General features: G+C 42.0%; 1 protein-coding gene and 1 long non-coding RNA gene across 5 annotated transcripts in view, besides 4 other annotated features; one reads left to right on the top strand and one right to left on the bottom strand.

Annotated features, from left to right (window-relative positions):
- Nucleotides 222–853: an enhancer, noted in NCBI's record as "H3K27ac-H3K4me1 hESC enhancer chr6:166776097-166776728 (GRCh37/hg19 assembly coordinates)". NCBI's record gives its function as "activates a minimal SCP1, AML or CMV promoter by ChIP-STARR-seq in naive H9 embryonic stem cells {active_cell/tissue: H9 hESC(naive)}" and the evidence as "EXISTENCE:reporter gene assay evidence [ECO:0000049][PMID:30033119]".
- On the bottom strand, nt 11,993–20,831 carry LOC100289495 (uncharacterized). Its single transcript, NR_040022.1, has 2 exons — nt 20,315–20,831; nt 11,993–15,383 (listed from the first exon to the last, which is right to left on the bottom strand). It is a non-coding gene; the product is annotated as an uncharacterized LOC100289495 (long non-coding RNA).
- Nucleotides 14,750–15,949: an enhancer, noted in NCBI's record as "MED14-independent group 3 enhancer chr6:166761001-166762200 (GRCh37/hg19 assembly coordinates)". NCBI's record gives its function as "activates an origin of replication core promoter dependent on BRD2, BRD4, P300/CBP and CDK7 cofactors, and independent of MED14, by STARR-seq in HCT116 cells {active_cell/tissue: HCT116}" and the evidence as "EXISTENCE:reporter gene assay evidence [ECO:0000049][PMID:35650434]".
- Nucleotides 20,092–20,985: an enhancer, noted in NCBI's record as "H3K27ac hESC enhancer chr6:166755965-166756858 (GRCh37/hg19 assembly coordinates)". NCBI's record gives its function as "activates a minimal SCP1, AML or CMV promoter by ChIP-STARR-seq in primed H9 embryonic stem cells {active_cell/tissue: H9 hESC(primed)}" and the evidence as "EXISTENCE:reporter gene assay evidence [ECO:0000049][PMID:30033119]".
- Nucleotides 20,917–21,915, top strand: part of SFT2D1 (SFT2 domain containing 1) — a 22,818-nt gene continuing 21,819 nt past the window's right edge. For all 4 annotated transcript variants that reach the window (NR_130114.2, NR_130113.2, NR_130112.2 and 1 more), the window contains exon 1: nt 20,917–21,043. Coding sequence is in view for 1 of the 4 variants with exons in the window: in NM_145169.3 (NP_660152.1) it covers nt 20,981–21,043 (63 nt within the window). In the remaining 3 variants the exon portion in view is untranslated. The remainder of the gene's footprint in view (nt 21,044–21,915) is intronic.
- Nucleotides 21,047–21,206: a silencer, noted in NCBI's record as "silent region_17775". NCBI's record gives its function as "represses an Ori minimal core promoter by ATAC-STARR-seq in GM12878 lymphoblastoid cells {active_cell/tissue: GM12878}" and the evidence as "EXISTENCE:reporter gene assay evidence [ECO:0000049][PMID:35858748]".

Raw genomic sequence — 21,915 nt, 5'->3', positions numbered from 1 at the left:
CCCCCATAGGTCTCCTCCACCCTTGGCCTATCCCTGTAGAGTCAGCCACTGTCAAGGATTTTTGGTTTGGGGTGTTTCTCTTCATCACCTTGGAAAAACTCCCAACCTGCTAGCCTTTACTGCTGGGTAAGAAGCAAGGAGATTTTCCACACCTGCATTTCAGAGATCGGCCAGCTCCCTGAAGGCACGGCCTTGTCGGCCAGCCCAGGTGGAAGCCTGCAGTGCACCAGGGACCAGGAGCAGATACTGCAGGTGATTCGAGCAGGAACAGGCCCTGATAAAAACCAAGGCAACAGTTTGGTTCAGTGGACTTTTCTGGTACTCCCGAGGAGAGAATATGGAGAGATAGAGGCCAGTAAGGTCATTCCTGCTGGCCAAAACCTGCATCCGAGCTGAGGGAATCCTGCGAGTGTGCAGACGCAGTCAAAGCAGGCACAGATGCAGGAGTGGCGTGGAGTCTGCTCCCTCAGAGCCACAGCTTCTGACTGTGCCTAAGAGAGAGTGACGAGGGACTCACCAGGGGAAGGACTGACCGGCACTTGGCCCGCTTAGAGGTCATAGGAAGCTTCTAACTGTTGCACTTTCTCTTTCCGCACAGAGCCCTGAGCACTTGCAAAGACGAAGGCAAGAATGCAAGGCACCTGATTAGAAGCAGTAGGGAAAGGATGTGAGACTTTTTCCACTGTTGGAATTTGATTCCTAATTTCACATAGCATTGAGACCAGTCATGATAAACTGTATTCCAGAACAAGAGTTTTTGGGTTTTTTTGCATTGTTTTGTTTTGTTTTGTTTGAGATGGAGTCTTGCTGTGTTGCCCAGGCTGAAGTGCAGTGGCACCATCTCGGCTCGCTGCAACCTCTACCTCCCAGGTTCAAGCAATTCTCCTGCCTCAGCCTCCTGAGTAGCTGGGATTACAGGTGCACACCACCATGCCCGGCTAATTTTTGTATTTTTATTTAGTAGATAAGGTTTTCACATGGTGGACAGGCTTGTCTTGAAGTCCTGACCTTGTGATTTGCCCGCCTCAGCCTCCCAAAGTGCTGGGCTTACAGGCATGAGCCACTGCGCCCGGCCCAGAACAAGAGTTTTTAATGGTTCTTGGTTGCTTTAAGTTTACCATATCCAATGTCTGTTGTTAGCAAAAGGGGCACTCAGAACACCTCAGAATTCAGCTTATGAGCAATAAAAGGAGACGGACCCGTTATTTAAATTGCTTTTTTCTGGACTTTGGAGGTGGAAGACTTCCCAGGCAAGACTAATTCCTAGGCCCCAGGCAAGCTCTTGCTGCTCTTTCATCCTGGGAATTTCCAGAGCTTGCCTTCCAGAGACTGGTGAAATACATTGTCACATTTGGCAAATGTTTGGTTTGTACTATGAGAGCAATATGCATGATGTTTCATCCTAAAAACTGGAAATCCGATCTGGTCTCTTTAGTATAATCTCAGAAGTCATTGCCTTTGTATCTTGATGTGTGTTAGTGGAGAACACTGCCGGCAATGGAAATTCATTAACCATTAGAGAGTCGGCATTTAAAGTAATCATAGGTGATAAGTAAAATGTGAAAACTCAGGCTGGGCGCGGTGGCTCACGCCTGTAATCCCAGGACTTTGGGAGGCCGAGGTGGGCGGATCACGAGGTCAGGAGATCGAGACCATCCTGGCTAACATGGTGAAACCCCGTCTCTGCTAAAAATACAAAAAATTAGCCGGGCGTGGTGGCGGGGGCCTGTAGTCCCAGCTACTCGGGAGGCTGAGGCAGGAGAATGGCGTGAACCCGGGAGGCGGAGCTTGCAGTGAGCGAAGATTGCGCCACTGCACTCCAGCCTGGGCAACAGAGCAAGACTCCGTCTCAAAAAAAGAAAACTCAAAGATTAGGTTGATGCAGAACTTGATTACTTTAAAAGCCCAACAATATATATTCAGAATTTAAACTGCCATATAACATTCTTTCTCAAAATAACTCTCAAGAACTCAAAATATTTTTCATTTAAATGACAAAATATAAAGAAAGTTAGGAGACTCAAATGTTAGTCATGACTAACTTCCAAGATGAAGTTCATGCTAGTTGTCAACAGTAAAGTGTCATGTTGGTTTCAGCTCCAGAGACAGTGCTTTTCTTTGTTACAATAACTTCATGGGGCAGAGGTGACAGTTGGGAAATACTTCCTGCACAAGCAAACATTCTCAACCTAGACAGTGGGAATCCTGGCACTGGGCAGCATGACTGCAGGCTGCATGCGCAGTGAGAGTGGCCCGCATGTGGGAGTGGTGGAGAAATCAACGGTCTCTTGTTTCATAATTCTCCTCTGACTGCACTTGGCTTACTATGACATACCTCAGTTTTGTCAGCTCTCTTCCCACACTCCACATAGCAATGGTGAATTTCTGCCATTCCGAATTTCAAGTTGGGTTCAGTTACTCTTTCGTGTTTTTACGTTTTTGGATTGGATTTCTCAGATGTTTTCTTAGATTAATTTATATGGAGAATTTACAAGCCTTAACAAGAAAGTACAAGTTGTTTCAACACCTGAGGATACTCTGAAATTGCATCAGATTACTGAGAAGACACTAGATGGGCTCAAAAATAATCATTTCTCCTTCAAGGTCTAGAAGAGAAGTGCACTCTAGACTGCATTTAGACAGCAAAGACTGAGCTGGCTCTGCCTGCAGCCCTGGCAGGTCAGTGTCCCCTGGGAATGTGGAGAGGGCAGAGGCTGCAGATGTCTGTGGAGAGGAGCCACCCACAGTGAGAAAACTGCAGTCCTCCTGATCTTCCCTCAGGCAGCTGCTGAGAACTGACCTAAACTGGGCTGGTCACGTAGGATTCCCAGGGTTTTGCTGTTATTTTGTTTTTGGTAGATATAACAGAAATCATAGAAAAGTTGGTGAGGATTAGCTACTCCCTGACAACTTTATTATGAAAGTCATAGGTCAAAATCTGCCTTCCCTACAGACATGCGTTTAGCAGACGTTCATTAGCTAGTACATTAGCAGGAAGCAGGACACCTCGCTGTTCTCCTATGTTCCTGATGAATCGCATTTCTTCTTCCTTTCAGGCTCTCTGAATGAGTCATCCATCTGAGGTAGATAGGACAGTATTTCAGCCAAGACATAATTCCCACCTAAACTAATAATTCCATGGGGTAGCTTAATGGTGGTTTCCCATTTCTAGTTATTAGATCACCTTCTATAGAGTAGACTCCATTAACTAAATCTGTTCACTTATACACAAACATGGGTCCTAATGAAAAGGCAGGATAAATGTTCAGTTCTTTTCTTCTCTACCCAATTTTAAATATAAGGAATTGATGTGATTCATCACATAAACAGAATGAAGAACAAAAACCATATGATCATCCAATAGATGAAGAAAAAGCATTTGATAACAACCAGTATCCCTTCATGATAAAAAACACTCAACAAACTAGACATCAAAGAAACATACCTCAGAATAATAAAAGCCATATATGACAGACCCACAGCCAACATCATAGTGAATGAGGAAGAGTTGAAAGCATTTCCTCTAAAAACTGTAAACTTTAAAGACAAAGATGCCCACTCTTCCCACTTCTATTCAACATAGTACTGCAGGTCCTAATCAGAGCAGTCAGGAAAGAGAAAGAAATGACACCCAAATTGGAAAAAAGGAAGTCAAATTATCTCTGTTCACTGATGACATGATCTTATACCTAGAAATCTCTAAAGACTCCTCCAAAAGAGTCCTAGATTTGATAAATGACTTTGGTAAAGTTGCAGGATACAAAAGCAACATGCAAAGATCAGTAGCATTTCTATACACCTGTAACATTCAAGCTGAGAACAAAATCAAGAATGCAATCCCATTTACAATAGCCACACACATACACAAAATACCTAGGAATCCATTGAACCAAGGAGGTGAAAGATCTCTATAAGGAGAACTACAAAACACTGACGAAATTATAGATGAAACAAACAAATGGATAAACATTCCATGCTTGTAATTGGAAGATAAATATTGTTAAAATGACCATACTGCCCAAAGCAAGATACAGATTCAATGCAATGCCTACCAAATTACCAATGTCATTTTTCACAGAATTAGAAAAAAAATCTTAGAATTCATATGGAACCAAAGGAGAGTCTGAATAGCCACAGCAATCTTAAGCAAAGAGAACAAAGCTAGAGGCATCACACTACCTGACTTCAAACTATACTACAAGGCTATAGTAACCAAAACAGCATGGTACTGGCACAAAAATAGACACATAAATCAATGGAACAAAATAAAGTACCCAGAAAGAAAGCATCATACCTACAACCAGCTGATCTTCAACAAAGTCAACAAAAATATACACTGGGGAAAGGACACCCTATTTAATAAATGATGCTGGAAAACTTGGAGAGCCAAGTTTGGAAATGATGACACCCTATTTAATAAATGATGCTGGAAAACTTGGAGAGCCAAGTTTGGAAATGATGACACCCTATTTAATAAATGATGCTGGAAAACTTGGAGACCCAAAGCTCTCACCATATACAAAACTTAAGATGAGTTAAAGCCTTAAATGTAAGACCAGAAGCTATAAAAAAATCCTAGAAGAAAACCTAGGAAAAACTCTCCTGGACATTGGCCTAGGCAAAGAAGTTATCAGTAAGACTTCAAAAGCAAATGCAACAAACCAAAAATAGATATATGGGACTTAAATAATGCAAGAAACATCTGTACAGCAAAAGAAATAGGCAACAGAGTAAACAGACAATGGGAAAAGGACATGAACAGACATTTTTCAAAAGAAGATACACGAGTGGCCAAAAAACATGAAAAAATGCTCAACATCGCTGATCAGAGAAATGCAAAGTAAAACCACAATGAGATACACCATCTCACATCAGTCAGAATAGCTGTTATTAAAAGGTCAAAAAGCAACAGATGTTGGCAAGAATGCAGAGAAAAGAAGACACTTAAACACTGTTGGTGGGAATGTAAATTAGCACAACATTCATAAAAACAGGATAGAGATTGCTCAAGAACTAAAAATAGAGAACCATTCAATCCAGCAATCCCATTACTAGGTATCTACCCAAGGGAAAAGAAATCATTAAAAAGACACGTGCTCTCATATGTTTATCACAGCACTATTTGCAGTAACAAAGTTTGGAATCAATCTAAGTGTCCATCAACAGATGATTGGATTCAGAAAATGTAGTATATGTGCACCATGGAATACTATGCAGCCATAAAAAAAGAATGAAATCATATCTTTTGCAGCAATATGGATGGAGCTGGAGGCCATTGTCATAACTAAAATAACTCCAAAACAGAAAATCAAATACCACATGTTCTTACTTCTATGTGGGAGCTAAATAATAGGTACACATGAACATACTGACACTGGGAACTCCATTTATAAAATCTGATGGCTTTTTCCTGCCACCTTGAGAAGAAGGTGCCTGCTTCCCTTTTGCCTTCTGCCATGATGGTTAGTTTCTGGAGGTCTCTGCAGCTATGCAGAACTGTGAGTCAATTAAACCTCTTTCCTTTATAAATTACCCAGTCTCAGGTAGTATCTTCATAGCAGTGTCAGAACCGACTAATATGTTCACTGAAAGCCCAGACTTCACCACTATCCAAAATATCCATGTCACAAAACTGCACTTGTACCTCCTGAATCTATAAAAATAAAAATTAAAAGTTAAAAAGGAAGGAATTGGTGTAATAGCTATTTCAGTAGTGATAAATTATTTTGAATGTTTTCTGTTTTGAGCATAACAGACTCCTGAATTTTCATAGATTTAATGGGTTTCTATCAACTATGATACTATTCTCTTTCGCTCAAATGTCCTACCTTTGGCCACTGGGAGCCCTTTAATGGTGACCTTTTGATACAATCCCATCAATCTGAAAGCTTTCGTGTTTGCTGGTACAAGATTCTCCTGCTCACCCTGTCTTTTCCTTGTCCCCAACATGGAAGGAAGAGACATTTCTCCAAGGAGTTCTGGCTGCGTTTATGAGGAGTGGTGTTTGTAGCCAAAAGATGGACTCTTGGCACACTTACGCTATTAGGCGGACATTGCTTTTTGGCCATTTCAGTGGTCAGTGCTAGAAAGGTGTCTTTTTTAAAATCACAAGTTCATATTGATATTTACACTTCAACTCTAGTATTGTATTTCTACTTAATTTACTTGATTTTATAATTGAATCTCTTTTATACTGAATAGCATTATTTCTGATCACATAAATATTCTCTACTTACTTGCTTTAACAATATAGTTTCACAATAACAATACCATTATTAACACAAACAGTGAAACTACTAAATACAATTTCAAAATTTTATTTACAGTTTTTGTCTTTAGAATCCATGTCCTAAGCATGTGTGTTCCAAGTAATAATGGTTCTAAATTCACTTGAAATTACCTTTTACTGTGTGTTATGTAAGCACCTATCCAATGTAGACTTTAATGCAATTGTTAGTTTTTATTTTCAGTGTAAAGTTTCTGCTTTCTAGCAGCTGCTAGTTCTTAGAAGGCTAGTCCTGTTAGGTACAGGAGGTGGGAGGTCAGTCTACCACGAACTTCGAGACAATCTACCGTCAGAGCAATTGGGTCTAAATGCTTCCATTCTTCATCATTTAGTCTGTCTACACCAATGAGTTCTGGATAAACAAATCAATTTCTGCCTTCTCCTTTTTAACTCTTTTTTTTTTTTTTTCGAGACAAGGTCTTGCTCTGTGGCCCAGGCTGGAGCATAGTGGCGCAAACACAGCTCACTGCAGCCTCAAACTCCTGGGCTCAAGAATGTTCCCATCTCAGCCTCCCAAGTCACTGGGACTACAGATGCATGCCATCACGCCCAGCTCATTTAAAAAATTTTTGGAGAGATGCATGTCTCACTATGTTCCCCAGGCTGGTCTTGAACCCCTGGGCTAGCTAAAGTAATTCTTCCACCATGGCCTCCCACGGTATTGGGATTACAGATGTGAGCCACCATGCCTGGCCAGCCTTTTACTATTTAATTTCAAGTGCTATTAGAACCTAGATATTTTAACTTTTTAATCTTGTCCTGAAAGATCATCCTGTGAAGGTTTTATTCTGTGCCCTTTTTGAGTGATAACTTTTCTCTTTAAATAAAAATAATCATATCCAACCTATCTAAATAGCATGCTATGTATTTTCTCATTATGGCTTATACTGTATACATTCAAATAACTGTCAGTTAACATTCTCTTGACTTTATTCGAGTCAGTGTTTAATTTTTCCTATAGAGGGGCTTTAAGGAGATAGATGATGTTTTAAGATTCCACATGATGAGCAGAGGTGAAAAATATAAACGCAGCTCTTAAGGGTTTTGTCTGAAACCTCTTCACTTGTAAGTCAAAATGCAGACTTTGCTTTTTGTATGTGTTTTCTAGTACAACTAAATACCCTTCAGATAACTCACCTACCTCAAACCTTTTAGTGATTACAGTTATTTACTTAAAAAGACAAAACAAAAAAAGCCTAGGAGTTCTGCATGACTAAATGTGCTTAGTTTGCAACAGCAACACCATCGCTGAAGCATGAGTTTTGCAAGTTGGGTGAGGGTTAACACAGCCCAGCTGGATGCAGCACGCGTGGCACAGGGTGCCATTGCAGTGCCTGTGATTCTGGCTGGGAGAGATGAAGTGAGGGCACAGGGCGGGCCACTTCACAGAGGAGGACATGGGCTCTAGTGGCCCACCCCAGGCAGATGGTGTCTCTGGCTCCCCATGTGTCCAATGCACTTCTTACTCCATAGGGAACACACAGCCATCCAGATGCAATAAGGACTGTTCAGCAGATCCAGTTTTTACGCTTTCCTTCATTTAAAGTCAGCCACATTTATACTTTCTTCTAAAAGCACTTCTAATCAAGAATTATAATGTCATAATTTTTTACTATAAATTAGCATAAATTTCAAGTAAGTTGCTACTTAGAGCAAAAAGTGACTCCTTAAAAACAATTAGGGCACATTAGCCAATTGGGGGATGGGGAATGAATCAGGCAGTTACTTTTTCTAGACAAATGCTATGAAATCTCTCTAAGTCGACAAGATCAACTCTCAGTTGAACAAAGCAAGCTTACAGCATTTTAAAAATAGTCTGAAAAATGTATGAACATATGAGGGAAAACTCTGCAAATTTTGTTTAAAATTTAAAAGGCTTCCTTTCTATTTAGAAGACAGAATTACACAAGACCTCATAGAGAGGTGTATATTTTCTGATGTTGGCATGAGCTGCCTGAGACCAGCTACAACTGCGCAGGTGCGTCTCCCATCAGCCCCCGGCGCACTGAAAATGTATGCTTGTCTCTCTCCTCCATTGGATGGTAGGCTCTTTGGGAGCTCCTTAATGAACACTTGTCATAATCATGGACCATAATAATTTAAATAACCTTTATATGTTACTTTAGGACATTCCTGAACTTCCTGTTTATCAGCCTATCTCCCAACACACTTCCCTTGCAGCTAGAAAGCAGGGCATTGGCTTGGACTTGGCCAATAGGACACACCCAAATGAGACTTCAGTTTGGAAGTGTCACAAGGAAGCAGGCTCTCTGTGGAACATCCCTTTTGCCGGTCTACCTGCAGCTTCTGTGATGGAGAAGCGGTGGTTCTTTCCAGCAGCAGAAGTCCAGGCATTAACTGGGGGACAGCAGCAGTGAGGGCAGGTTCAGTCCCACAGCATGGAGGTGGGATTGGTCCTGGAAGCAAGACTTATTCCCACTCTGCAGCATGACTTTGGAAGCAACCTCCGATCCTTTAGTGAATCTCTTTGCTGCTGAAACTGGTCAGAGTAGATTCTGTTACTTGCAATTAAGAACTCTAACCAACCTCAGACAGGTAACAAGGCTTATCAGTCTTCATGTCCTCAGTTCCCAGAGGGAAATCAGTACTGGACATGGGCATGTGGAAATGCACAGTGCACTACCCTCAAAAAGGCTGAGGGATGGGGTTCCTGCCTTTGCAGGCCCAGAGACTTTTGTCAGTGCCGAAGGCTCTGCAAATATTTAAAATGTGCTGCAGGTGGAAAGTCCCAGTCCATTTGGGCTGCCATAACAAATGCCATAGACTGAATGGCTTTGGCAGCAAACACCTACTTCTCATAGTTCTGGAGGCTGGGAAATCCAAGACTGCCAGCAGATCTAGGGTCTGGTGTGGGCTGCTTCCTGGTTTGCAGAAGGCTGTCTTTTCGTGGTGGAAGGGTCAAGGGAGCTCTCCGGAGCCTCTTTTATAAGGGCACTAATCCCATTCACATGGGCTCTACCCTTATGGGCTCATCACCTCCCAGAAGCCCCACCTCCTAATACTATCGAATTGGAGATTAGTTTTCAAAATATGAATTTTGGAAGACACAGCATTTAGCTCTTAATATGAAAGAATAGAATAGAATTGCATTTAACATTTGCAGTAATAAATAAAAGTTTCACATGAACTGGAAAGTCTCATGTTGTGCATTTTGGAAGACACAGCATTTAGCTCTTAATATGAAAGAATAGAATAGAATTGCATTTAACATTTGCAGTAATAAATAAAAGTTTCACATGAACTGGAAAGGCTCATAAGTACATTCTCTAAGTTCAACATCAACAAAAGAGCCTGAGACTGAAATTAGAGCAGGAATTATTGGAACAAAGATGGAAGGAAGGGGGGGAAAGAAGGAAGGAAGAAAACGACAGGAGGCAGAAAGAGAGGAAGAAAGGAAGGAAGGAAGAAAGGAGGATAGGGAGAGAGGGAGGAAGAAAGTGTGGAAGAAAGAAGGAAGAAAAGAAGAAAAAGATGGAAGGGATGGAAGGAAAGGAAGGAGGAAGGAAGAAGGGAGAAAGGAAGAAAGGAAGGAAAGAAGGAGGGAGAGAAAGGATGAAGTTTAAAGGTTCCATATGATTCCAAGGCACTTAGCACAAATGGCTCCATTCTGGTTTGGTCTGCTTTACTGGGGCCTAGTGCAGGAGGGCTGTCCAAAACAGTGGCCTCCCATAAACTCTGTTTAACATTTATCAGTGTCTGTTTGTTACAAAGGATATTTTAAAGAATACAAATGCACAGCCAGATGAATGGATACATAGGGTGAGGTTTGGAAATTCACGAGCAGAAAAGTTTGTCTTCATGGAGTTGGGCTGTGCTACTATCCTGGTACATTGACATATTCTTGTTGATCAACCCAGAAGCTCTCTGATTCCAGCCTTTTTGTTTTTGTATGGAGGTTTCATTACCTAGACATGATTGATTCAATCACTGGCCATTGTGATTGACTCAACCTCCAGCCCTTCTCCCCTCCAAGGCTGAGGGTAGCCTAAAGCTGAAAGTTCCAACCCTCTAATCACACAGGGGTTACCCTGGCAACCCCCTCTAATGCTGAGGCTATCCAGGAGCCCCCAGCCCACAGTCATCTCACTGGCATACAAATAGATGCATCACTTTGGAGATTCTGTGGGTTTTTGGAGTTACATGCCAGGAAAAAGGAGAAAGACCAAATATATGTTTCCTATTATAAATCACAGTATCACAGAAGGCCAAGTAGAAAAAACAAAAAGCCCACACCTAGAAGTATTATAGCAACACCTAAAAATATCAAACACAAAGAATAAAATTCTAAAAGCTTCTAGAGAGAAAGAACTAATCACTTATAAACAGGGTGACTGAACACCTATAAATAAGTGGACCATGTGTCTTAACATACACAGGACAGTCCTGGGTTACACCCACTGACAAGCGTAATTATTACTAGTATCCCCTTCACGCTCCAAAGTGTCCTAGTTGAATGATAAGTTATATCATCATCCTGTCTACAAAGGAATAAGAGTAAGACTGATTGTGGACTCCTCAATAGCAAAATGGTACAAGAGAAAAACAGTAGAATGTTTTTAAAATATTAAAAGAAAAGAACTTTGAATACTAAAAGTTTTATCCAATCAAATTGTCATTAAATGTGAAAGTATAATAACAATATTCTCATTCATATATTTCCAAAATTTTGCCACATGTTGAAAACACTCTTAAAGGAAGGTTTAAATGAGAAAACAGCAAATCCAGGATATTTATACAAAAGACATAAAAATTAAGGGTAACTGAATACCTAGGTAAAGTTTATTATAGGACCTGTCAAAAGAAGAAGTTTTTAGACAAATTAAACAATTTAATTGAGCGAAGGACGATTCATGAATCAGCAGCAATAAACCAGTGGCAATTCAGAAAACTCTCCTCCTCGGAGTGGGCAGGGAGAGTTTATAGACAGAAAAGGGAAGTGAGGTGCAGAATGGGTGTGAATGATTTCAGCTTTGTGTTTGCTGTATTTGGATGCGGACTGATCAGCAGGAAGCCTGTGATTGGCTGAAGGCCACTGCTCAGATCGGCTGACACTCAGCTGTTTGTTACGAAGAATACTCCTTAATTAGGCTTTCAGTTTGTTTACCTACTAAACCAGTTTATACTTCCCTACTCAGGGATTTAAGCTATGGCAGCCTCAGGCCAAGTTTTAATTTAACAGATCAAAAAAGGAAAATGACTGTATTCATAACAGCCCAGAATTAAAATATCAACATGACACAGGGGCTGAGGGAAGAGGGAGATTAATGGACATAATCATGTGCAAAAATTCTTGACTTGAAAGCACTGTAGACATTGCTAAGTTTATTACTATGGGTAAATACACATAATTACAGGCTTCATATTAACTGTAACCACTATGAAAACAAAAGTGTAATGTTTAACTTTTAAACTGGCAGAATACTCAAAATGACCAAAAAGAAAGAAGGAAAAGAGACTTTAAATAAACAAAACAAAAATTCCATAAAGTAAGATATGAAATAAATAGCAAAAAATAAATCCTGTTTATGGTCATTGTGATAATTATAAATGACAAAAAAATTACAAAAACAAAAGATAAAGATCCTCAGATTGAATACTAAAAAAAACTTCAATGATATGATGTCCAGGAAGACTGAAAATAAAAGATGGAAAAAATAGCAAATGGAATTCAGCACCACATAATTTATCATGATCAAGTGAGATTTATTCCAAGAATGCAAAGTTGGTTCAATATTTGAAAAGTCATTAGTATCCTGTATGTATTTATAGATCCAGGGAAACAATACATAGTTATCCCACAGATGCTGTAAAAGCCTTGAACAAAATTCAAAACCCATTCCTGATAAAAATTACTCAACTGAAATTGACAGGTGCTTTATTAATAAAATGAACTATGTCTTATTAGTATACATGGGCACACTTCATTTTATTGCTTTCTGCTTTACCGTCTTTCACAGATACTGCTCTTTTTACAAGTTGAAAGTTTGTGGCAACCCTGCATTGGGCAAATCTATCAGTGCCATTCTTCCAACAGCATTTGTTCATGTTGTATCTGTCACATTTTGGTAATTTTCACAATATTTCAAGACTTTCCATTATTATAATATCAGTTATGGTGATCTGTGATCAGTGATCTTTGATGTTAGTACTGTAATTGTTTTGGAGTGCCAAGAACTGTGCTCATATAAGATAGGAAAGTTAATCAATATATGTTGTGTGTATTCTGACTGCTCCACTGACCGGCCATTCTCCTGTCTCTCTCTCCCTCTCCTCAAGCCTCCCCATAACTTAAATAACAATATTGAAATTAGGCTAATTAATAACCCTGCATGGCCTCTCGGCATTCAAGTGAAAGGAAGAGTCACATGTGTCTCACTTTAAATCAAAAACTAGAAATTATTAAGCATATTGAGGAAGGCATGTCAAAAACTAGCCCTCTTCCACTGAATAGTTAGCTACATTGTAAATGCAAAGGAAAATTTTCAGGAAATTAAAAGTAAGTGTCACTCCAGTGAACAAATGATCAAAAAATGAAAGTGCCTTATTTTTGATATGGGGAAAGTTGTAGTAGTCTGGATAGAAGATTAAACCAGCCACAATCCTCCCATAAGCAAAAACCTAATCCATAGCAAAGCCCTAACTCTATTAAATTCTATGAAGCCTGAGGGAGGTGAGGAAGCTGCAGAAGAAAGGTTTGAAGCTCGTTGGTTCATGAGGTTTAAGGAATGAAGCCATCTCCATAACATAAAAGTGCGAGGTGAAGCAGTAAATGCTGATGTAGAAGCTGCAGCAAGTTATCCAGAAGACCTTACTAAGATAATTGATGAAGGTGGCTACACTAAATAATAGACTTTCAATGTAGACAAAACAGCCTTAAATCAGAAGATGTCATCTAGGACTTTCATAGCTAGAGAGAAGTCAATGCCTAGCTTCAAAGCTTCAAAGGACAGGCTGACTCTCTTGTTAGGGGCTAATGCAGCTGGTGACCTTAAGTTCACACCAATGTTCACTTACCATTCTGAAAATCCAAGGGCCCTTAAGAATTATACTAAATCTACTCTGCCTGTGCCTGTACTCTGTATAAGGAACATCAAAGCCTGGATGATAGCACATCTGTTTACAGCATGGCTTAATGAACATTTTAAGCCCATTGTTGAGACCCACTGCTCAGGAAAAAAGATTTCTTTCAAAATATTACTGCTCATCAACAAGGCACCTGGTCATAGAAGAGCTCAGATGGAGAGGCACAAGATGAATGTTGTTTTCATGCTTGCTAACACAACACCCATTCTGCAGCTTATGGATCAAGGAGTCATTTAGACTTTCAAGACATATTATTTAAGAAATACCTTTTATAAGCCTACAGTTGCCATAGACAGTGATTCCTCTGATGGATTGGGGCAAAGTAAATTGAAAACCTTCTGGAAAGGACTGACCATTTTAGATGTCATTAAAAACATTCATCATTCATGAGAGGAGGTCAAAACATCAACATTAACAGGAATTTGGAAGAAGTTGATTCCAACCCTCATGGGTGACTTTGAGGGGTTCAAGCCTTCAGTGAAGGAAGTAACTGCAGATGTGGTAGAAATAGCAAGAGAACTAGAATTAAAAATGCAGCCTGAAAATGTGACTGAATTGCTCCAATCTCATGAGAAAACTTGAACAGATGAGGGGTTGCTTCTTACGAATGAACAAAGAAAGTGGTTTCTTGAGACAGAATCTATCCCTGGTGAAGATGTTGTGAACATTGTTGAAATGACAACAAAGGATTTAGAATATTGCGTGAACTTAGTTAATAAAGAAGTGACAGGGTTTAAGAGGACTGACTTCAATTCTGAAATAAATTCTACTGTGGGTAAAATGCTATCAAACAGCATTACATGCTATAGAGAAATATTTCATGAAAGGAAGAGTCAATCAATGCAGGAAACTTCACTGTTGTCTTATGTTAAGAAATTGCTGCAGCCACCCTAACCTTCAGCAACCACCATCCTGATCAGTCAGCAGCCATCAACATCCAGGCAAGGCCCTCCACTAGCAAAAATATTATGACTCACTGAAGGTTCAGATGATTGCTAGCATTTTTTAGTAATAAAGTATTTTTAAATTAAGGCATGACCATTGTTTTTTTCAGACATAATGCTATTGCACCCTTAATAGACTATAGTATAGTGTAATTATAACTTTTACATGTACTGGGAAACCAAAAAATTTATAATTGCAATTTTTTGCTTTATTGTGGTGATCTGAAATTGAACGAAGGTCACTCTAGTGAAGTTCTCCTGGGCATTTTTCTACTAAAGGTTTGGCCAACTTTCTCAAAACATAATAAACAGACATTACTGCACTTTGGCCCTCCAGAAAGTCAACGAGCAAAATGTCTTGGCATCCCAAAACACTGTTGCCATGACCTTTGCTCTTGACTGGTCCACTTTCGCCTTAATGGGACCACTTCGGCCTCTTGGTAGCCATTGCTTTGATTGTGCTTAGTCTTCAGTATTGTACTGGTGAAGCCATGGTTTATCTCCTGTTACAATTCTTTCAAGAAATGCTTCAGGATCTTAATCTCACTTGTTTAAAATTTCCATTGAAACCTCTGCTCTTGTCTGCAGCTGATCTGGGCATGAGGGTTTCGACACTCATTGAGTGGAAAGTTTGCTCAACTTTAACTTTCAGTCAGAATTGAGTAAGCTGAACCAGTTGAGATGTCTATGATGTTGGCTATTGTTTGTGCTGTTGTCAGTCCTCTTCAGTTAGGGCATGAACAGAATGAATTTTTTTCTCATAAATTGACATGGATGGTCCGCCACTGCTTCATCTTCAAATTAATCTTGTCTCTTCTGAAAACAGGTTATATCCATTTGTAAACTGCTGATTCCTTTGGGGCACTGTCCTGATTAGTGTCTTGTAAAGTATCAATGATTTCACCATTCTTGCAGCCAAACTCAGCATAAATTTGATGTTTGTTCTTGCTTCATTTTTTGTTTTTTCTTCTTGCTTTCAAGTCATGTTGCTCTGACAGGGGCTCTTTTCAAATTGATGTCTTATCCTTCTTAATGCCTCAAACTTGAACCTGTTCAGACATGTTATAACAAGTTAGTACAGGTTTATTTTGGTGCAAAAAGTTTAAAATTCATGCATAGTTTTTTCATAATACACATTTCCCATTAACATTTTGAAGACCTCTCATATACATATATATGTGCATTATATTATTTATTGCAATATTGTTTCTTACTGAAAAATATTAGAAACAATCTAAGTAGTCATTGAGAAAACTATAGAACAATGCAGTATTGTGCAGCTGTGCCAAAAAAGGGGAAAAAATCTCTGAAAACTGATATGAGCTGATTTCCAGGGTATACTGTTAAATGAAAAAAGCAAAATGAAAAGAATGTAATATATTATCCTTCACGTAAGAAAGAAGGGAGATGTAGGAAAGTATGCATGTATCAGGTCTCTTGTGCAAAAGAAACAGAGGAAGTAGAAACCAGTAATTAATGAGATCATTTACCTATAGGGGATGGGTGGGAATGGGGTGGAAAGAATGAGAGGAGAGAATGAGAGGAGACAAGGGGAAACTGATACCTCTGGGTGTAGCTTTTGATATAGTTATGGCTCTTAGAACAATGCTTTTCCATACTCCCCCAATAAATTAATATTTATAACCAACTGGGATGGGGGAGCCCAAAATAGAATTGTCATTCTGTGTTAAGCACTCAGTGTAGACACTTAGGAGGGAGGCTGTTGGCTTTCAACCAGAGATGACCTTCAGTGTTTATGCCAGTCCTGTGGGATGGTGGGATGGGCTTCTCCCCATAGGATCAGCTCCTTCAGTTCAGGCACCACTTCTTTTCCATTTTCTCTCTCTCTCCCTCTCTCTCTCTCACACACACACACACACACACACACACACTCTCTCTCTCTCTCTCTTTGCATCAACCAATGGGCAAAGGGTGGTAATTCCAGAAGTTCACTAGAGATAATCTCATCTTTCCCTCTTCTTCTTTTTTAAAAATAAAATAAGGAACCAAAGATCCAAGGACTTTCTTGCAAGTGACTTTCTTGCAGTTTCATAGCTGGTTAGGAGCTGAGCAAATGGCAATGAATTAACAAACCCTTGTCCCAAGCACCCTTCTGTGACATCAAGAGTCCCCTCTCACTACCCACATTTCCATCTAGGCATGTTCATGGAGGCAGAGGGCAGTTAAGGGGTAGATTTTCTTTATTTGCATCAAGGCCATTTGTTAATCACTGCAGAAGAATTGGTTGCAAACAAAAAATGGAAGCTTTATACTTTTTCCAGTCTATGCCCCTGCCTTACCTAGCCCAGACACTACATCTGAGGAGTTGAGATTTACAAACATTTGGGAAGTTTTTGCCCTAGAGTTTTCTGTACATTTTAGTAGATAAAGGGGATATTCCAATAAGGAGAAGGTATGTGTTTCGGAAAGTACTTTTCTACTCCTAACAACAAACGCCTCAGAATTTGAATTTGAAGTCCCACTGCCCTGGGGGACAAAGGTCCTCTGAGTCAGAAGCCACTAACCAGATGATCCAGCAGCAGGACTGAGGGTACCAGGGCAAGCACCAGCCCATGCCATCACCCACACAGAGCCCCAGGTATGCTTGACCATTGAGGGCCAGGAGGTTAACTGTTTCCTGGACACTGGTGCGGTCTTCTCAGTCTTACTCTCCTGTCCTGGACAATTGTCCTCCAGATCTGTCACTATCTGAGGGGTCCTAGGACAGGCAGTCACTTGATACTTCTCCCAGCCACTAAGTTGTGACTGGGGAAATTTACTCTTTTCACATGCCTTTCTAATTACGCCCGAAAGCCCCACTCCTTTGTTAGGGAGAGACATTCTAGCAAAAGCAGGGGCCATTATACACTAGAATTAGAAGGAAAAAGGTTAAATATACAGACTCTAAGCATGCTTACCTAGTCCTCCAAGCCCACGCAGCAATATGGAGAGAAAGGGAATTCCTAACTTCCGAGGGAACACCTATCAAACATGAGGAAGCCATTAGGCCCCCCAAATTCTCTTTACCTCTGAATCTACGTCCTCTGATCCCTGCCTAAAGATAATTTTGTGGGGAAGAGGATTTGCTTGTGTCTCTCCAGGTGACACTCAGGTGTCTGTGTGGGTGCCCACCAACCATCTGAAGATCTATCACGAGCCACGGCATCTAGTGGACCCACATGTAGAGTACAGTGCGAATTGAAGGTTTGAAAAGCCTCGATTTGCTTTCTCTATGCCTTCTGTTAATCAGAAAAGGCCTGTTTCTCATTATCAGTGGCCTCCCGGCTACAGCCACAAAAGTTTTTGCTTCTGTTTCAGTAGATTTACTAACGTGGGGGTGAGGGTATGCTTGTGTTTTTGCAGGAGATGAACAAACCGTGTGGATACCCTCAAGATGTGTACGACCATGGAATGGGAGACTGGAGGTACCCATGGATCCCAACCTTGGACCGGGTTCCCCCAGTGTGAGCCATGAGCCAGTTGAATCTGAATGCGAAGAAGGAATGAGGACCGACCGGAGTCACGATGCTTAACGGGCCAATGCTTTCTGACTCAGCTCCTCTCTACCCTGAATATGAGAGACCCTAACAGTTAGACAGGAATATCGTCACCCCTATTCAGCATGAAGAAGTTACAGAAGATGGACCTTCATCCTTCTGCAACCCCTAGGATTAAGGGTCTTCTTGTAAAAGGGAAAGGGGAGATATGTGGGAAGCATTCAAACCAGAGCCATGCTAGTAATAATGATAGCTAGTAATAATGATATCTTCTCTTTTACAATAAAGAGAAGGGGGGCATGCTGGGAAAAAGCTGAGTGTTGGGGGGAAACTGAGGCAGGGCTTGCATAATGTCCTCTGGAATGTGTCTAGACTTGCTGGCTCCTTGCTTCTAGCCTTCCTAGGCTCCTAGGCACCTATTCCCATTATCTCAAGTAGCAGAACATGTTCCATATAAATGCTAAACTGTCACAGCTGTAAATCATGTGCTTAATGCAACATGACCTCCACATTCTCACCACCTGTTTCTTAGTTGGATTACCAATAAACACTGTGGGCTCCCAGAGCTCGGGGCCTTCACAGCCTCCGCAATAGCAATGGCCCCTGTTGTCCCACATTTCTCTCTCAAACTTTTTTCTCAATCTTTTGACTCTGCTGGACTTTGTCACTCCCACAACCTGGTGTTGGGTCTGATCACCCCAACAATTTTGTGCATGTCCTTGTGTTCAGGAGTCATTGGCTCTTGAAAAAACTATGTGGCCAGGAAGCAGGAAGAGCTAGGAAGTAAGGTTTTTTTGTTTGTTTTTTGAGACAGAGTCTCACTCTGTTGCCCAGGATGGAGTGCAAACGAGCGACCTCAGCTCACTGCAACCTCCACCTCCTGGGTTCAAGCGATTCTCCTGTCTCAGCTTCCCAAGTAGTTGGGACTACAGGCGCCCGCCACCATGCCCAACTAATTTTTGTATTTTTGGTAGAGACGGGGTTTCACCATATTGTCCAGGCTGGTCTCAAACTCCTGACCTTGTGACCCACCCGCCTTTGCCTCCCAAAGTGCTGGGATTACAGGAGTGAGCCACCGCGCTCGGCCTATACTTGAAAATCTTGAAAGCAGTTATGTCAGATATGTGAACCAGAGAAGCCCATCTTGAATAGCGGCTGGGTAAAATGAGGTTGAGACCCACTGAGCTGCATTCCCAGACAGTTAAGTCATTCTAAGACACAGGATAAGATAGAAGGTCAGCACAAGATACAGATCATAAAGACCTTGCTGATGAAACAGACTGCAGTAAAGAAACCGGCCAAATCCCACCAAAACCAAGGTAACAAGAGAGACCTCTGGTCGTTCTCATTGCTACACTCCCACTAGCGCCATGGCAGTTTACAAATGCCATGGCAATATCACGAAGTTAGCCTATATGGTCTAAAAAGGGGAGGCATGAATCCACCCCTTGTTTAGCATATCATCAAGAAATAACCATAAAAATGGGCAACCAGCAGCCCTGGTAATAGACAGCCCTGCTCTGCCTATGGAGTAGCTATTCTTTTGTCCTTCTACTTTTTTTTTTTTTTTTTGAGACGGAGTCTCGCTCTGTCGCCCAGGCTGGAGTGCAGGGGCGCGATCTCGGCTCACTGCAAGCTCCGCCTCCCGGGTTCAAGCAATTCTCTGCCTCAGACTACCGATGTTCCTCTACTTTTTAAATAAACTTGTTTTCACTTGCCCTGAATTCTTTTTGCGCAAGATCCAAGAACCCTCTTTTGGGGTATGGATCCGGACCCCTTTCCCGTAACACTTACGGACATACTCTCTTATTCAACAGAAACATAGTTTTATTCTATAGATTTTACAATCTATTTTCTGACCTTTTAAAGTTAAGGACATAAGGATAAGACTTCTCATATTAGTATGAACAGGCCACATAGAAATATCTTCTGCCTAAAGGAAAAGGATGCTGAGCATTGGACCGTTTCATCACAAGAAGGCGCGACTTGCTTTCCTAGGGTTCCTGTGGTATTTGTTTTTATCTAATTGAGTTTAGATAAAATCTCTACTGAGGCAGTAGGATGGACAATGAAACTTTTTGAGGATCCACCTTTTAACTGAAAGATTTTAGGGAGGAAATGGAGTGGGCAAAGTAATCAAAAGAACAGGCATTCTCATTACCATCTTACCAAGCCTAGAAGCAAACAGAAGAGCAAAACCTATCACTTAATGACTTCTGGAGACCATATTAGACAGGCAGCCCTGATTTTTAATCTCCTTTCTTAGCATGGTGGAAAATGAGAGAGAGAAAAATGCCACTTCCCCATTTCTTAGTGTTTGTTCATCCAGCACGAGCCGGAGAACAGTAAACGCTTGTTCAATGGTTTCACTGTTCACACAAAACTGGAAAAATGGGTTGCATTAGCTATTCCTTTTATAAATAAGATTTCACTCTTTCAAACTCCTAGCTGACCAGTGAACTGAGTAAAGAAATAGCTCTCACAAGGGCAAAGGAGTGAGGCAGCCTCTTGCTATTTCTCCTGAGACGGTCTGAAATACAGCTCCTCGCTTTAATCCTGAGGCAGGTGTTTGTGTCTCCGGATGAGGACACCCAGCTGGGAAGGCTAGCGACGCCCCCAGGGCCACCTCATGGGTGGCAGGGCGCTCTTCGGAGCACGGCCACCTGCCCGCAGGAGCCCTCCGCTCTCCGATTCCAGGCGAGGGGAGGCGCATTCGGGGCCTCGACTTCTGGGAACCCGGGGTGCCGCGGACCCGCCCAGCAAGGCCCCTCGCGGGGCCCGGAGGACGCCAAGTGCAGGGTTCAGTGGTCGTGCCCCAGTCGGGTCTACACTCAATGGCTGTGCGCCAGCTGTGGGCAGGGGGTCCACACCCGCGCTGTGTCCCCGCGCGTTACCACGGCGCACCTCGCGGACAGTGGGAAGGGATAGCCCCACCATCAGCGCCCACTCCGCGGACTTCACGGACCACTACCGGGTCCGAGAGAAAGGCTGGTGAGCATGCGCGCATTGCTACGGCGGCCGCGCTGACGCACAGGAAGCGGGCGGGACCGGACTTCCGGCTGGTCTGTGGGGTTTCGGGTTCGGGGTTTCCTGGTGGGCGTCAGGGGCAGGCAACAGAGTGGCGGCCGCTACGGCCCTGTAACAGGGCCATGGAGAAGCTGCGGCGAGTCCTGAGCGGCCAGGACGACGAGGAGCAGGGCCTGACTGCGCAGGTAGCGAACTTGCGCCCTCGTCCAGTCCCGGGGCTGCCCGCTGGCCCCGGCCGCACTGAGGACCGGCCGAGCGGGTGGGGTGGGTGCGAGGCCGGGGGTCTGGGACTCCTCTGCCCGGCTGGTTGATTTAGGAGGGCTCCGCCTGCTTCCTGGGTAGAATTTGAGAACTTTCCAGTTTTCCATGCGGTCTACTTAAACCCACTTTGAGGCCCCCCCCCGACTCTCCCATCTGGCCTTCTGACTTAGGAATCCGCTAACGTCTGCCCTCGCTTTCCCAAATAATCCATCGCTCCCACGTACTATTTGGTTTTCTGAGCCTGGTGCGGGGTCTGGCCTCGGGCTGTGCAGCGTAAGTAGCTATGCAGGGCATTTATCCTGCAAGCTGCAGTGAGCCGAGACCCTAAAGCTTGTTGCATCTGTTTGTCTTTGGAGGTAAAGGTGGTGTTATGTGTGTGTTTGCTGGGGGGTGGTCTTTTGGAAATAGGGAGACTGGAGGAAAAATAAACAGGACATTGGTAAGTGAAATAATATTGAATTAAAATTTTTCTGTTAAGGCAGTGAGCCCTGGTAAGAGATTTTTTTTTTTTTCTTAATAAAAGCCCTTGTGTCTGCGCCTTACCAGCGAGACTTGATAAGGGTTACTTCCTCCAGCAAGAAGGTTAAAAGTAGCAGTGGAGCAGGAACTGCGGTGTAAGTTTTTTTGTTATTGCATGCGATTATATTGCACGTTATTGTGTGCTGTCGCAGAAGTTGGACGTTTAAAATTGAATTGTATTTCATAAGGATCTTCTATTTGTCTCTCCTGACTTCCTTGTCATTATACTTACTCAGCACTTGGTGTGGGTAGAGTTCTGGGCTACAGTTTTGGGTTC

The sequence above is a fragment of the Homo sapiens genome, chromosome 6, assembly GCF_000001405.40.
Source record: "Homo sapiens chromosome 6, GRCh38.p14 Primary Assembly".
Classification (NCBI taxonomy): Eukaryota; Metazoa; Chordata; class Mammalia; order Primates; family Hominidae; genus Homo; species Homo sapiens.
The sequence above is the reverse complement of the archived record's forward strand: the minus strand, read 5'-3'. Positions and strand labels throughout refer to the sequence as shown.